The following is a 17,622-nucleotide window of genomic DNA, read 5'->3' as shown; positions in this document are numbered from 1 at the left end:
CAGTTCGATAAATGGCCACTACAGGAGTAAGCACAGGGTGCCATGGGGGTAGGGAGCAGGGGTGCCTAATCCAATCTGGGAGACAAGGAATATTTCATACCCACCTACAGCTGCCATTTATTCACAGCTTTCTATGTGCCAAGTACTCTGCCAAGCCCTTTACATTCATTTCTCCAATTTACTCCTAATAACAACCCTATGAAGAAGGTGCTTGCTATCCTGTCCATTTTACAGATGGGCAAACTGAGACTCAGAAATGGGCAGTGACTTTCCCAAGGTCTTAGAACTTGTATGGGCTAGTGTTGAGATTTAACTCTAATGTCAGGGCTCCTAGCAACTGTTCTGTATGCCCCCTGTGCAGACCACCTCCTATGCTAGTGAGGTTCCATTTCAGTTGCATCTTGAAGGGTAAGTATGAGTCTGCTGGGCAAATTGGCTGCCGTCAGCATGATGGTGGGAGGAATTGTAGAGTGTGACGATATGGTTTGGAGGTTGCAAAAAGGCATCTTAGACAAAAGGAGACAACATGGGCAAAGAAACGGGTTGAAAACAGCATTGTGTCTAGGGCAAACAAATGGAAGATGATTTCTTCTCACCCATCTTAGTAGAGAAATTCTACAGGGGATCTGTAACCCTGACGATCCGTTGCAATCAGAACCTTTGGGTGACTGTTGAGTCTTTAGACATCATACAGGAAAATCTTGGTGGAAAGAAAAATTATAGCTGGCCCTTGTGGATTTTGTAGTTTTGGGCCAGGAAGACTAAAAACAATCTCAATTCTGGTCTCAGGAAGAGGAGTGAGAGTATGGGTCTGCCCAGTGGCTGAGTGGGTAGGTGAACTGGCTGGGTTAGCTGCTGCTGTTGGGGAGGGGGAGTTTCTATTTCTTTCTCTCCCCTTCAGATCTTTCTCCTTGCTTTTCACATACCCATCTTTCTCCTTGCTTTCCACATATACTGACTGAACATTACCTGTGTGTCTAGTTTGGCGCTGTGGTAGATACATGGATAAAGTAGGTCTGACCCCTGCTCTCAAAGTATCTACAGTCTAGGAGGGAAAATGGAATATTTTGATAGATATGCTCATTGATATGCTAATATTGACAGATATGTTAATATCTATGGATATGTTCCATTTCCCCTCCTAGACTGTAGATAATCATCAGAGGGTTGCATCATTTACAAAGTGCATTTAGTTGGATATACATATTTAGGAACCCATGTGTGGCCAGGTGTGGGAAAGCAGAGATAAATGTTGCAGAATCCCTGTTTCCGAGAAGCCGAATTATAGGAGAGGAACTCCTGAAGCAGAGTGTTATGGGGGAAGCATGTGAAAGGCACCGAGGAGCACTGAGGAAGGAGGGGAGGAGTTAGGGAAGCCACAGACATGTTTCATCCTTAAAGCCAGGCCTTTATCCTGCCAGAGACAATCCCATTCATGTTTCATTTTGATGGTCTTTGAAGAAATAAAATTTGGATTGATTATTTCAGAATCCTTCATGACTGTGAAATCCATATGATGAGCTCCATTTTTCCATTGAAGGAACAGAGGCCCAGAGCAGTGAAGTGACTCACTCAAGGTCAAACAGCTGGCACATGGCCAAGCTGGGCTAACCAGGTCTTTTGACTCATGTTCTTTCTGAGACGGCCCACTGCCTCTACAAGGGAGAGAGTGACAAGTGCCTTGTGCCCATGCACCATCTACTTTTAGCTCTTTCCTTGGACCAAGGCCCAGAAAGTGCCCCGTTGTGTCACATCTGTTCAAGCCTGTGGGTGATCTGTGGGCTCTGGCTTAATCCGGTAGAAGGATTTAGTAACATAGGTTGCCTGGCCTCTCAGTGGGAGAGCTGGTTAATCTCCCACAATCCTTGTTGTTCCAGCTCCTTCCCTTAGTTACGCTGATTGGACTGAGGCTTGGAGCCCCATTTTGGGGTCTTTGAAAAGTGAATGGCAGCAGTCACTCTGAAGGTTTCCCTGAAGATGCATTGAGATTCAGGGCTTAAATGGGGCACAGGGTAAAGCTGCCTTGTCCCAGGCAGTGAGGCATACAAAAGTGGGTGGGGTTCTCTGAAGCAGTTGCAAAAAAAGGGAAGGAAAGGGCATCCACACTGACTGAGTTAGCACATTGTGCATAGCATAGCAAATTTACATACATTTGAGAGGAAACATTCACCGCCAAAGGACATGAAGATTTTGCAGTAAGCTTCAAAGACTCGTCTTGATGATATAGTCACTTCCTTGTCATTTTTTTCTGCTAGAATAGCAATCTCCTTAAAATGATGTAGGTGAAAGCATCCTGTTCCATGCCCACCTGGAAGCCCCTCTCTCGTGTTTCACAGATGGATGGGAGGAAAGTGGTGCAGAGATGTCAAGCAAGATCACAGAATTAATCATTGCAGAAGAGACTTGAATTTAGGGCTTGGACTCCAGGACAGCATGTGGGACAAACGGAACACTTCTAAGGCCACTGAGCCCTTAGGAGGAGGGTAGAGTTGGGGGGTTCATGCCCAATACATGGGCATGTTTGCTGAATGCATACAATCCAGATGAGATGGGTGGGGGCAAAGAGACTGCTTGGCCCAGTGCTAGGCTCTGTGGTCAGGTGCTCACAGAGACATGCCTGCAGCTCCCACTTTTTCTAGAGGAGCCAGTCAGATCCCAGCTCTGGAGGGCAAAGGCCATTCCTCTGAGAGAATGACCTCTTTCTCTCAAGAAGCTCCTTCTTTTAGAACAGTGGCTACTCCAGCCCCAGCCATCGAACACAACTGAACCAAGAAATAAATGGTTCTCATGGCCAGGGAGACGCTTCTACAGTTTAATTTGGCATAATTATACATTCCCTCAATAGGTTTTGTGATGTGCATTGTTATTTCAGCAAAAAATTGTTTGAGTATAAAAAGTTTTTTATTATAAAGAAAAATCGTTTTTTTTTTTGTTTGTTTTTTTCAAGGTCTTTATCATCCCCCTAGGGCTGGTTCTTTCCCACATTCGTGACAGACAGATCCTGGGGTTGCTTTCCCCCCTTTCCTAATTCATGCTTTGAAGAGAGAGGGAAGCCTAAATGATATGGTATGACGCTAGGGGCTGTGAAGGCCAGAGGAAGGCCAGGTCAATGGTGAAGGGAGAAGTGTGCCTCCTTGAAATGGAGATGGTGTCAGCCTCCCTGAGCCAGGCTGTGTCTGGTCAAGGACACAGACACTGTATGCTGGCAGATATACTGTACTTACTCAGGACTCAAATCCTGGGTCGGCCACTTGCTAGCTGTGTGACATTTGACAAGGTGCTCAACCTTGCCCTTTCCTTCAGTCTAGTTTGCTTTCCAAACTGAGGTAAAAATATTCCTGAGAGAAGTGTGTCACTGCTGGAGGATATAAAGTCACTCAATCAATAAACATGGCATTTGCTAATGAAGCACCAGTTTTATCAAAACATTGGTGGTGGTGGTGGTGGTTGTGTGTGTGTGTGTGTACCTTGGCAATAATAATATAATATTTACATTCAAACAAATACAGCTATTTAGTGGAAGAGATAGTCAAATGCTCATGAATTTTAAGGCTGAACAGGGAGCTTTGAAGCCTCTTAATGTTTGCCTTGGCCTACTTTTGCCTATATATTCTCTCTTGGTGCTTACCCATTCTCTCTTTTTCCCTGTTTCAAGGTCCTGCAGAGATAAATGTGACAGAAAGCTGTTTCTTCTATGAAATGAAAATGACATCCCCTGCCCAAGAGCAGTGGTATAATAATTCCATAAGATAATGTATTTAAAATCATTCAAGGTTTGCTGATAAGCCATTAGCTACAACACCAAAGGTACAAGGCATGAGAGAAAAAGCTGGTAACTTGGATTTCATTAACATTAAAAAATTCTGCTTTGTGAAAGACACTATTGAGACAGTCAAAAGGCAAGCCATAGAATGGGAGAAAATATTTGCAAAACACATGTCTGAGAAAGGACTTATATCCAATATATACAAAAGACATATCAACCCAACAATAAGAAAACAAACAATCCAATTAAAAAGTGAGCAAAAGGTGCAATCAGACACCTCACCAAATAAGATGTACAGAAGGGAAACAATCATGTGAAAAGTTGATCAACATAATTTGTCGTTAGGGAATTGCAAGTTAAAACAACCACAAGATATCACTACACACCTATTAGAATGGCCAAAATCCAAAACACTGACAATACTCAATGCTGATGAGGATGTGGAGCAATAGGAACTTTCATTCATTGCTTGTGGGAATGCAAAATGGTATAGCCACTTGAGAAAACAGTGTGGCAGTTTCTTACAAAGCTAAATCTAATCCTTCTCTATGATCTAGCAATATACTCCTAGGTATTTATCCAACTGATTTGAAAACGAATGTTCAAACAAAAACTTGCACACTATTGTTTATAGCAGCTTTATTTTAATAATTGCCAAAAACTGAAACAAAACAAAACAACGAAACAAAATGTCCTTCAATAAGTGAATTGGTGGACAAATGGTGGTACATATACACAATGGAATACTATTTCATGATTCAAAACATAAGGTGCTATCAAGCTGTGAGAGGATATGAATGAATCTTAAATGTGTATTGCTAAATGAAGAAAGAGTCTGAAAAGGCTGCATAGTGTACAATTCCAAGTGTATGCCATTCTAGAAACAGCAAAACTGTAATGGGAGTAAAAAGATAGGCCGGGCGCGGTGGCTCACGCCTGTAATCCCAGCACTTTGGGAGGCCGAGGCGGGCGGATCACGAGGTCAGGAGATCGAGACCATCCCGGCTAAAACGGTGAAACCCCGTCTCTACTAAAAATACAAAAAATTAGCCGGGCGTAGTGGCGGGCGCCTGTAGTCCCAGCTACTTGGGAGGCTGAGGCAGGAGAATGGCGTGAACCCGGGAGGCGGAGCTTGCAGTGAGCCGAGATCCCGCCACTGCACTCCAGCCTGGGCGACAGAGCGAGACTCCGTCTCAAAAAAAAAAAAAAAAAAAAAAAAAAAAAAAAGATAAGCAGTTGTCAGGGATTCGGGGGAGTACTGAACAGATGAGGTACAGGGAATCTTTTAGAGTGGTGAAATCATTATGCATGATACTGCAATTGTGGATATATGACAACAGGCATTTATGAAAACTTATAGAACTTCACAGCACACAGTGAACCTTTTGTATTCAAATGAATTTAAAAAACCATTTAGGGCTGGGCGCGGTGACTCATGCCTATAATCTCAGCACTTTGGGAGGCTGAGGTGGGTGGATCACCTGAGGTCAGGAGTTTGAGACCAGCCTGACCAACATGGAGAAACCCCATGTCTACTAAAAATACAAAATTAGCTGGGCATGGTGGCATGCGCCTATAATCCCAGCTACCCGGGAGGCTGAGGCAAGAGAATTGCTTGAACCCAGGAGGTAGAGTTTGCGGTGAGCTGAGATCGCGCCATTGCACTCCAGTCTGGGCAACCAGAGCGAAACTCTGTCTCAAAATAAATAAATAAATAAATAAATAAATAACCATTCAGGATGTCAAGGGAACCCAGGACCAGATGCATAAAGTGATAAAACAATCTAATTGTATCACAAATGTATAAAACAACCACAGCGATGGGGTGGATGAAATTGTTGTGGACCTAAGTAATTTTGGAAATAGAGTCTATAAAATTAAAGGCAAAAGAAACTGTATATAAGTACTGCACTCTAGTTGAAAAGTTGTTTCCTGTGGGATATGGGTTAACAATTATGATACTGCTGTACAGGTATGCTGGGACTGAACAAATAAATGCAAAGATGGTGGATGGTGGAAGCCAGGTTTTTTACTCTTAGAGGGGAGTGCATAGATAAGCAAGAGGAGGAAGCTAGAATGATCTACATGATAATGGGTTCGAGTTGGAGGTACAGTGTGAATCATGTTTAGCTTAATATAGATACAGATGTTTATATATAGAAAATGTATAGACATGGATATATACACAGGTTAGTATACACACATATATATTTCCTGGTTCTGTCAGCTGAGAGAGCCTAGAAGCAATGGCATCTCAGTAGCTGCAAGTATACCTAGAATCCATATTTTGGTTTTCAGTACTATGGTGCAGTACAAGAAACCAGCAATCCTTGGAGAAATGGCTGAATCTATGACTGGGGCCAGACGTTTATAAGACGATCCTAGAGCATCTCCTAGTACCAGAAAGTTAGAAATTTCTCAAAAGCAAAGCAAAACAAAAGCAATGATATGGGTGTATCAATGTGATGGAATAACTAATTGAAAGAGCTCCCAATTGCCAAAGCTGGAACATTTGAACAACAAAATAAATAAGGTAGCTGGGCATGGTGGCTCACGCCTGTAATCCCAGCACTTCAGGAGGCCAAGGCAGGAGGATGGCTTGAACCCAGGAGATTGATACTAGCCTGGGCAATATAGTGAGACCTCATCTCTACAAAAAATTTAAAAATTAGCTGAGCATCATGGTGTATCCCTGTAGTCCCAGCTACTTGGCAGAGCTGAGATGGGAGGATTGCTTGAGCCCAGAAAGCAGAGATTGCAGTGAGCTGAGATCGCACCACTGAACTCTAGCCTGGGCTACAGAGCAAGACCTTGTCTCCAAATAATAATAATAATAATAATAATAATAATAATAATAATAATAGTAGTAGTAGTAATGTAGCATTATAATACAAAGTATAAAATAAATACCTATGAGTCCATACTGATATAAATAGATAATTAAAGAGACTAATAGGGGAGAGTATACAATTTTTTTGTGCAGCAGAATTTCAAATCATTTACATAGATATTCTACCCTGTGGGAGATGGAGTATAACTCCCTAATCCTTAAATGTGTGTTGTGCATAGTGACCTCCTTCCAAAGAATACGGTATAGACGGAGGAAAAAAAAAGTAACGTTAGTGGAGAAACCTGACAAACATGACCTAAGCCAGGTAATCAGGTCAACATAAGCAGTGATAAGTCATGTCTATAGTATGTACCAAAATGTCACCTCTGTGGTGTTCTTCATTTCAGCCCCAGACCCAGTCTATCTAGTCAAAAGAAAAACATGAGACAAAACCTAATTGAGAGACACTCTTCATAACACCTGGCCAATACTCCACAAAACTGTCAAGGTCATGAAAACAAGGAGCTGTCACAGGCCAGAGGATCCTGAAGAGACTTAATGACTAAATATAATGTGGTATCTTGGGTGGGATCTGGGAAGAGAAATCACTCCTATAATCCCAGCACTTTGGAAGTCCGAGGCGGTGGATCACCTGAGGTCAGGAGTTTGAGACCAGCCTGACCAACATGGTGAAACCCCATCTCTAGTAGAAATACACAAAATTAGCTGGGCATGGTGGCGGTGTAATCCCAGCTACTCGAGAGGCTAAGGCAGGAGAATTGCTTGAACCTGGGAGGCGGAGGTTGCGGTAAGCTGAGATTGTACCACTGCACTCCAGCCTGTGTGACAGAGGGAGACTTCGTCTCAAAAAGGAAGGAAGGAAGGAAGGAGAGAGAGAGAAAGAAAGAAAAAGAAAGGAAAAGAGAAGAGAAGAGAAAAGAAAAGAAAAGAAAAGAAAAGAAAGAGAGAAAGAAAGACATTATGTAAAACCTAAGGAGGAACCATGGGCTTTAGTTAATTATAGTATATTAATATTGGTTCATTAATTTTAACTAATGTACCGCATTCACACACGATGTTAAGATTTGGGGAAACTGGGTGTGAAGTATCTGGGAATTCTCTGTTACCTCTGCAATTTTTCCTGTGAGTCTAAAACTATTCTAAGATATGAAGTTTATTTTAAAAAATGAGATAATAAATTATTTCATTAGTACCCTTCCCCTGAAAGGGTACTATTATTCTTCAAGAGACAAGGAAAGGGTTTTGTGGGTTTTTTTTCCCTGCTTCTGAAACGGAGGAGGAAGCAGAGTAAAACAATAATGGCCATCACTGAGTACTGAGCTACAAGCCCAGGGCTTTGTCTCATTGCATATTCCTATAACCCTGAAGGGCTAGTTACCACTATTCCCATAGATAGAGGGAAATAGAGGAAAAACTGAGACCCAGAGGAGTTAAATGACGCACCTGACAAGGCATAGCTAGCTGGGGACAGAGGATATGAAGCAGGATTCGAACCCAGGAAGTCTGGCTCCAGAGCTGTCTCCATGAGGATATTTGCCAGGCAATGTGATGGTGCCTGGTGCCCATTTAGTGCTCAGCAACGTTTCTAAACTCCTGGAATGTGTGGTGTGAGCCTGTTTTCTGTAGAAACCAAGAAAGGGCCGGCATTGTTTTTTGGACTGGGATGGTATACAGAAGAGAGATGGTGGATGGAGGAGCCAGCTTGAGGATGAGATGGGATCATGGGAAGACTTTGGACTCCAAAGGCCAGTAAGAGTTTGCCAAGTTTATTGAGATCTCCAAGGGTCAGGACAAAGCAGTGGGGGTGGCAGTGGGGGCGCGGTTCTTAGCGGACACTGGATACCACTGTTATTACTACTTGTCAGCCCCTTCCTGCCCTATTTCCTACTCACTCCCCCCTCAAATACCCTAGTGGCTCCTTCAATCTGGGCCACTTCCTCAGGGGAAACAGGATGTCTTCTCCAGGCTTGGGCCAGGTCTCTGGGGTCTGGGGTGGGAAGAAGCTGTCTAATTGGTTAACACGGAGCTAGGCACCAGAGAGGAAGTAAGGTTTCCTGGAGTTGAGGAAACTGCCATTTCCTCCTCCAGCAGGAAGCGGCCTTGGCTATTCTCAGCACCCCCTGGCCATGTGGAGCAATGGAAATCACAGCCTGGCACTGTCTCTGGTTTGCCTCCTGCAGTTTAACAATCTCCCAGTCAAAATAAACCGGCTCCTTAGGTCTCCAGGGCATGGTTAAGGTAATAATTGAGAGAAAGAGAGAAACCAGAGGCCTGGCTGTAGCATGAAGGCACGGAGAAACTTTTACAATGCCAAGCTGCTATTGGTTGCTGGTGCCTCATGAAAGCGATATAACTGCAGCACTGTGAGGGTCAACACATCAGGAGATTCAGTGATGGCTTCTCAAACAGCCGGGCTCCACCTTGCGAGAATTTGGAGCGATTTGCAGAGAGGAGATTGCTGATACTTTTAGTATCTATGCAGATGAGTTTGAACAGGAAAGCTGCATGATTCAGAAGAAAAGGAACTGGAAAAGGAATCAGACTCAAGTTCAAATGTGCACTTCACCAGACAAGCTATTTTGATGAGGTCACAACATTGTAAACTTTGCCTTCCTCATCTCTCAACAGCCATGGTAGAAAAAACCACCCTGTTTACCTCACAGAATTACTCTGAAATCAACTAGGATTCTTTCTTTATCTTCTTATGCCCACTGTTTCCAGAGCCCTGGAGATTCATTTTCTCCCTTGCTGTTTATTCCGGCCACAAAAGGTTATTGAGCACCTACTTAAAGTCTGGAAGTGATCTCCCCTGGGACAAGGAAAGATATAGTTTACATTCACAGGAGAAAGCAGATAACGAACAAGTAAACACAAATACATGAGATAATTTTATATTGCCATAAAGGGCATGAAGGAAATAAGTGAGTTGGGGGAGGAGGGATTACTCGGGATGAGGGAGGTGGAGGCCCCTGTGTGGAGATCACATCTGAATGGTACCTGACTGATGGGACCAAGTTCGCAATTGAAGGGGGTGGGCCTCTGAGTGGGAGGGGGCAGGGCTGTTCATTTATTTAATGTGTGTTTATAGGGGGAGTTTTTATTTTTGTTTGTTTTTTGTTGGTGGGGGGGATAGGGTCTCGCTTTGTCACCCAGGCTGGAATGCAGCGTTGTGATCAGGGCTTACTGCAGCCTCAACCTCCCAGGCTCTAGTGGTTTTCCCACCCCAGCCCCACTCAGTAGCTGGGACTACAGACACACATCACCTCACCTGGCTAATTTTTATTTTATTTTATTTTAATGGGGTCTTGCTATGTTGCTGGTCTCAAACTCCTAGCCTCAAGCAATCCTCCTTTCCCAGCCTCCCAAAGTGCTGGGATTATAGGCAAGAGCTGCTGAGCCAGGACTATGGAGGGATTTTTGATATGAGAGAAGTAGTGATAAATAAGACAATCAAGGTCCTTGCTGTCATGGACAGAGAAACAAAAGCAAACAAATGCAATCAGCCATTGATAAGCACTCTGCAGAGAATTAAGACAGAGGTTGGTCATGAGGTAGAGTAACTGGGTAATCAGTCCAAGGAAAGGGCAGTGCAAAGGCCCTAAGACACGAAGGAGGATGTGGGTTAGATAAACAAAGGAATGCAATGTTCTTTGGACCCACATGTGGATGTTTCTCATGGTCCACTGGTCACCCTGCTGGTCATACTTATTGCTGCCCAAATCACAGTGGCTCTGAGGCCCCTCCCATTTACTTGTGTGAATTCCAGGCTGTTTTGGAGGCTCTCCTTGCACCATCTCGTTTGCATCTCCTTGCAAACATCTTGTTGCAAACATCTCTTTGCAAACATCTTGTTGCAAACATCTCCTTGCAAACATCTTGTTTGCATCTCCTTGCACCATCTTGTTTGCATCTTGTTTACATCTTGCTTGCACCATCCTGTGCCCTGGGCATCACTCGGCCATGGCCCCCTCCTGGGTACCTGGAGCTCAGACACACTGCTAGACATAGCCTCAAGTTCAGACCCGCTGGCCCCTCCCTCATGGTGGTCTCCATGAGGACGCTGATGGGGAAGGTGGACAGCAAGGCCGATTCTAGCAAAATGCAGCTGATTGCAGAGAGGTGGCTCTGGAAGGTGATCAGGGACCCCAGTGGGATTCCCCGCCTTTGGGAGGCTGATAAGACACTGGAGAGAGACCTGGGTTTACTCCTTCAAGGAAAAAAAAATTAACATTGTCTGCTTTGTGCCAGATTGATGTCCAGCAGGGGCTGGCAACACCAGGGTCAATGAAAATCTAGCCCTCACCCTCCCCACTCATTGATCTTAGAGTTGAGTGAGACTTTAATACTAAGGTAGGGCATCTGGATGCAATTCCAGGAGCACCAACAGGCATCTGAATCACTCAGGAGACTTTCTGCAGCAAATTATAGCGAACCTAACTCACACTGGCTTGAACAATAAAAAGAGTTTATTGGTTCACCATCACCGAGAGGTTGAAAGGTGGGGAGGCTTCGGGTGTGGTGCAGTCAGGGCTTCAACTCCGGGTCTATGTGATTACCCTGGCCATGTCCTTCTTCTGTAGGTTAGCACCTTCCTTGGGCTGGTTTCTTCCAGGGTCACAGGATGGCTACCTGCAGACAGGGATGAGAGCAAGAGCATCACCCCCACAATCTCAGAATTCAATCTTGAGCATCTAGCTGATGGCCTTTTTCCACACCTGCCCAACGTCTGTGGCCAAGGAGATGCAAAGCCCTGCTAACCAATTCCTGTTGCAGAGCCAGTGGCACTACTGGGTCGACTCACCTCCTGAGCAGGAGGGAATTCTGCCTGAATCACTGGACAATGGTTGGAGGATGGACGTTGAGAAGTAGAAGTAATGTCTGTTACAATGGAAAGAGTGATATAACTGGATTTACATTGTTAAAGATCACTTTGGCTGGAGATAGTTTGGAGGAGCGCACAAGAGGAAGAAGGGAGAACAATTAGGAGCTCCCCCCAGGAGAGGTGATGGTGGCTGGGCCCAGGGGGAGGCAGGGGTGATGGAACAAAGGGGACAGACTAGAATCCTGCCTCTGATCCTTGGCAGCTGAGTGGCAGTGGCAAATCCCTTAGCTTCTCTTCACATCATTTTCCAAATCTGTAATATGGCTGTACAAATTCTTAGCCTTCAGGATTAAAGAAGATACATTAAACACGTGTAAAGAAGATACATTAAACACATTAAACACTACCTCAATAAGTGCATTTTATCATTGTTATTACCCAAACTCCTTAGCATGACGTTGGAGTCCCTTCGCATCTGGATCCACGTGACTCCAGGCGGCAGAGTTTCTGTGTTGGGCTGACAGTGCTCTTCCCGTCACAAGGTGGAAGCTTCCAAAAGGCAAAAACAATAACTCTACAGCCAGTTATGAAAGTTCTGTTTTGTCCCAGGGGATTTTGTACCTGGTCCCATCAGTCAGTGTCTACACTCTGAGCGGCACAGGGGGTGGTTTGTCGTGTTTTCAGTCCGCAAATATTGACAAAAGATTAAGGGTTGACTCAATGCACTTTGGTGAGTAAGAAAAAAACAGCTGGCTCAAATTTCCAGGCATTTATTTTCTCCTGAGTTGAGTTGCACTGTGGCTTTTGCCACTCCCCAGCTAGAGTCCTGAGCCCAGGAAAGCCCCTGCCTATCCCTGTCACTCCAAAATAATTTCACCAGAATCAGTGGGTTGAGTGTTTTTAGTACAGTCCATATAGTGCCTCAGCCTGCAAGGAAGATATGCATTCCTGGCAGAAAATGAGTCCATGCCAAATAGAGGGACCCTAAGCTAGGGATGTGTGTGTGTGTGTGTGTGTGTGTGTGGTGGGGGGCAGGGTGGGGGGCTGGTGGGAGCAGACCCATTGGGGGTATGGGGCAGTGGAGGGGGGATGGCACTACTTCAGTTTTTAGTTAGGTTTCAACTGGGATGATGGGAACCCATACGTTTGGGGATCAGATTGACCTGAGTTTTAATCTCATCCCTGCCATTCATTCATTGTGAGATTATTCATTCATTCAAAATAGGTCAGATATGGGATAAAAGCTTCAAAAGCTATTCCTAAGAAATGACTATCTAGTGATGGATACGGAGAAGTAGATTGTAACAGACTGTGATAAATGGGGAAAAAACAGAAGGTAGGAAGGACAGAGAGGGAGCACTGAATCCAGTGTTGCTTGGCGTGGTTGTGGTGGTCAGAAATCATGGGTTGCTTCCTGGAAGAAGCATCAAAGCATAGGGCTTCCTCCAGGAAGCACTGAGAAGGGAGAGGCATTAGCATGCAGAAGAGGTGTGCAGCAGGGATGGTGTTCCAGGCAGAAGTCTGTGGACAAACATGAGCATGGAGTGGAATGGGGTAGCGGGAGGCAGACCAGGCTGAAAGGGGAGCAGGGGCTGAACAATTAAGGCCATGAAAGCTGTTCTAAAGTTTCGACTTTATCAGAGGTCAAGGGAGAATCGTGGGAGGGTGTGAAGCAGAGGAAAGGCATGAGCACCACGCATTTTCAAGCATTTTTGGCTGCTTTGTGAAAAACAGACCAAAGCGGAATGAGGCAGGAAGTGGGGACAAAAGTCCAGAGGCTATCACATAGTACAGGTGAGAGATGGTAGCAGCTGGGTTGAAGGAAGGCTGTGGGGTTACGATAAACAGTCACCCGTGGAACTGGGGGATGTTTGTGATGTGGTCACAGGATCCTAGGGGAAGAACAGAATGTTATTAGGTGCCAGATGCTTCAATTGCCTCATGTTATTTCTAGTAACATCCCTGTGAGGTGGGCATGGACCTGACAGGGTGAGTGATGTGCCCACAGCTGGCAAGTGGTAGTGGCAGAACTCAACCCCAGGTCTGCCTATCCCCAGACCTGTGGTTTGTCACCACTGGATCATGCAGTTTTCCTAAGTCAAATGTAACAAGTTATTGCTTATCATATTTAAATTAAGACCCATAGAAGTTTTACCAATTCTGGAAAATTTAAATGGAGTGATAAATGCACTGAAGATAAAAGACTGAAGAAAGTTGTTGATTGATATCTTTGGAATGACCATCAGCATCCATCTCCTTCTGTGAAAACCCCAGCCACCATCCTCTCTGGGATTTTGAGGTCAGGTGTCATTATCACTAGGAAGTCTCCCTGGATTCCTACTTCCTCATCAACATTTATTTTATTTTATTAATTAAATTAATTAATTAATTTAGAGACAGAGTCTCCCTCTGTTGCCCAGGCTGGAGTGCATGGTGCAGTTTCAGCTCACTGCAGCCTCTGCCTCCCAGGTTCAAGCAATTCTCGTGCCTCAGCCTCCTGAGTAACTGGAACTACAGGTGCATGCCACCACACCCAGCTAATACATATATATATATATATATATATATATATATTTAGTAGAGATGGGGTTTGGCTGTGTTAGCCAGTCTGATCTCAAACTCGTGACCTCAGGTGATCTGCCCTCCTTGGCCTTCCAAAGTGCTGGGATTACAGGTGTGAGCCACCACATCCGGCCTCCCACCAAAATTTAGAGCACTCATTACCTTCTTATCATCGCCTCTTCACAGATCTGTTTTTCTTGCTGTCCTAGGAGCTTCTCGAGGGCACAGACTGTGTTTTCATCACTGTGGCATTCCCAATGCTTAGCGGGGTATAATACACAGTATTTGTTAAATATTGGATGAATGGATGAATGCAATCACGTTAGTGAAGGTGATACTAATAGAATCTGTTTGTTTTGGTTGAATGTGCAAGTGGAGATAAGGCTTAGTTGGTGTCCATTATCCCAAACATTTTACCTTTTGTTATGCCAAGTGTTGAGCCTTCTCTTGTTCTGTGAAATCATAAAAACTTTCTGTTTGTGTTCCCTCTTCCTCCTAGGGAAACAAGACTGCAAAGCAGCGTCCCCTTTGTATATATTCAACAGAGTTCTCCCTTTGCTGTTGTTCTCCGGGTTCTTTTGCACAAATTACATGTTCCTCCTACCCTGGCTTTAATCATCACAACCTTGAATCCTCATCAAACTCTCTGCCTATCTCAAACCAGTGCTTAAAGGACACTCTTACCCTTAGAAGAAATGGTATAATTTTCATAAACATGGGTCATTTCCCCCTTGCATAAATGTCAGATACAAAACCGCCACTTAACAAGATGTGCCAGAAATACAGAATGTCTGAACAAAGGCTGTTGACAATAGCATCTTTTTTCCTTTTTTGTAGTTCTGTGAAATTGCTCTCCCAAAATATTCCTAATGCTTTATTTACTTCAGTGTTGGGTTTATTTTGGGATAAACTTTCCTGAAGCTGAATCTTAGGATGTGATTCTTATCCTGGTCACATCCTGGGGAGTTGTTTTGTGACTTTTTTGAATGGGCCCTGGCTCTTCCAGGGAGCCCCTGGTGCTGAGGAAGAGGCAGGGGCCAGAGGATGTCAACTCCCGTGTGCGGAACACAGACAGAGATGACGAACCATCAGCTTCGGTGGAAATACTCCCCAAAGGAGAGCCTGCGCCGCCTGGTCTCCAACAATGGCAGAAGTGAACCCAGCTCAGACTTTATCAATGATCTGTTCCGGAGAGTGGTGTGTCTCATAGTTTCCAACATCTGAGTGATTTGTGACTATTAGGAATTCAGACACTGGATGATTAAAACCGCTGGTGCTGGGAATTTTCTCATTTCAGGAAATTTTGGTTGTGAGGCATGCTGGAACCTTACCAGCCAGCAGACACGAAGGGGAGGAAGTCCAGGCAGGGCCAGGAATGAGACTGTGGGAATTGACCAGAAGGCGGCACCACGGCTTAGCTTTCATGTCAGACAGATCTGCGTGGGCACCCTGCTTCCCTGAGCCTCAGTTTCTTTGCTAGCAGAGTGGAGGTGATGAGAGTTGAATTAAAGAATGTCATGCCTGGCACGCAGTAAGGGCTCCAGATGGGAGTTCTCCTCTCTTTTCTTTCCCTGAGTGGCTAGAAGTCTAATGAGTGTCTTAAGGGTGAGGTGAACTGAGGTTTTGTCTAGCCTATGGTTGGTCTGACTTGAGGGAAAGATGGTCTTCAGTGAGAATCTAAGCTAGAGCTTGGAGTTCAAGAGACTCGGCCTAGCTCTGAGAGATGAGGGACAAGGGCTGGCCAAAGAAAGATTGTCCAGATCCCAAGGCCTCTGGGCTCAGGGTTGGGCTTTAATCTGAACTTTGATCAGTGAGGAAGCTGACATAGCCCCAGGTTTATCCTGGATTATATAGTATAGAGCCATGGTTCTCAGCGTGGCCTGAGGACCCTGGAGGAACCTGAGGTACTTTTAGAGGTTCATGAGATCAGAACTATTTTTATAATGCTACTAAGATGTAATTTTCCCTTTTCATTGGTTGATGTTTAAACTGATGGTGTAAAAGCAACAGTGGTAAACAGCTGGTGCTTTAGTTTGGATCAAGGTAGTGGTAGCAAACTGCAGTAGTTATCATTGTATTATTCACCACCACATGTGCACGGTAGGAAGAAAAAAGTCAGTTTCACTTAATGTCCTTGACGAAGCAATAAAAATGATCAAATTTATTAAACTTCAGCCTTCGAGTGTCTGGCCTGTCTTTTTAATGATTGGTGTGATGAGATAAGAGTATGGGTAAAGCTTTTCTGTTGCCTACAAAAGCACAGTGGTGGTCTCAAGGAAAAGCACCAGAGTGAGTGAGTGAGTTGGGAGCTGAAGTAGCCATTTTCTCCATGGAAAACCATTTTCCTGGAAAGAACGATTGACAGACACACTGCAGTTATTCAGCCATGGGTAGTTGGCAGACACACACCCACACACACACCTACACACACCCACAGACACACGCACACACATCCACCCACACATATATATATTTAAATGATGAAGTCAGAGCTGTTACTTCAAGGAAAACAAATGACAGTATGTACGGCCAATTATAAAATTTGAGAGTTCAAATGAAAAACTGGGATTTTGGAAAACTTGTATCCTTCACTGTGAGCTGGTTTCAGATTCCACATGGCAGTGACCCTTTAAAAATCCACCACTTGTCAAGTTTTGGTGTACTATCAAAGAGGAATGTCCACAGTTATCTGAATAGATTATTAAAATACTTCTCCCTTATTCAACTTCATGATGTGTGAGGCCAGGTTTCTTCATATCCTTTAATCAAATAACACATGACAATAGGCTGAATGCAAAATATATGTGAATCTGCTTTGTATGTTAATAAGTCAGACATTAAAGATGTTGCAAACCTGAAACAATGGCATTCTTCTTACTAATTTTGCTATGGATTTTTTTTCATTAAAATTTATTATTTAGATTAACATGTAACAGATTTATTACTGTTATTTTAAGGGAATCGATAAATGTTTTTAAAAGTTCTCTAATTTCTGACTTGATAAATATTACTAGACATGACCCACATAAACAAAACCTCTTTAGAATCCTGTCATTTTTAAGAGTGTAAAGGAGGCTCAGTTCAAATCTTGGTTCTGCCATTTACCAACTGTGCTATCCTGGGCAAGTTACTTAACTGCTCTGTGCCTCAATTCCTTTATCAATCAAATAGAGATAATTTTAACCTATCTCATATAGATAAGTTGTAATAATTAAGCTTAACATATATAAAGTGCTTAGAACAGCTCCTGGTATATAACAAGTGTTATATAAAGATTCTAATGATAATAGTTACTATAACACAGCATTGTAGTGCTGTGTTATAATAGCTATTGGTTATGGTCTGTGTTCCAGTCTGTTTTCCCCACCTGAGGCCTTGGGGCAGGCTGTGTGGCTCCCCCAAGATCAGGGTCTGCTGTCTCTGATTGATCTCTGAGTCCTAGCACAAAGCTTGGCACCCATTAGGTAGTCATAAAGTTTGGTGAGGAAATGAATGAGTAGTTGGGGGAAGGCAGGACAAATTCCAGACATTCCTGATAGGCAACGAAGTTCCCCTATGAAGAGGCTAAAATCCTAAGTGGTAAGAGTGAGACTGTAAGTGGAGGTGGAGGCACAAACGGGA

General features: G+C 44.0%; 2 long non-coding RNA genes across 3 annotated transcripts in view; one reads left to right on the top strand and one right to left on the bottom strand.

The window, feature by feature from the left end:
* Positions 1-16,861, top strand: part of LOC124904185 (uncharacterized) — a 74,169-nt gene extending 57,308 nt beyond the window's left edge. Inside the window, exon 2 of one of the 2 annotated variants that reach the window (XR_007066106.1) lies at positions 14,501-16,861. This is a non-coding gene — a long non-coding RNA (uncharacterized LOC124904185). Of the gene's footprint in view, positions 1-3,655; positions 4,678-14,500 lie in introns of those variants that run through there. The other variant, XR_007066104.1, reaches the window with a different exon arrangement.
* LINC01767 (long intergenic non-protein coding RNA 1767) lies at positions 11,062-12,065 on the bottom strand. The gene is made up of 4 exons (NR_147163.1): positions 11,878-12,065; positions 11,686-11,780; positions 11,419-11,495; positions 11,062-11,246 (listed from the first exon to the last, which is right to left on the bottom strand). It is a non-coding gene; the product is annotated as a long intergenic non-protein coding RNA 1767 (long non-coding RNA).
* Positions 16,862-17,622: the final 761 nt, after the last annotated feature.

This window comes from Homo sapiens, chromosome 1 (genome assembly GCF_000001405.40).
Source record: "Homo sapiens chromosome 1, GRCh38.p14 Primary Assembly".
NCBI lineage: Eukaryota > Metazoa > Chordata > Mammalia > Primates > Hominidae > Homo > Homo sapiens.
This window is presented reverse-complemented; position numbering and strand designations above follow the sequence as displayed.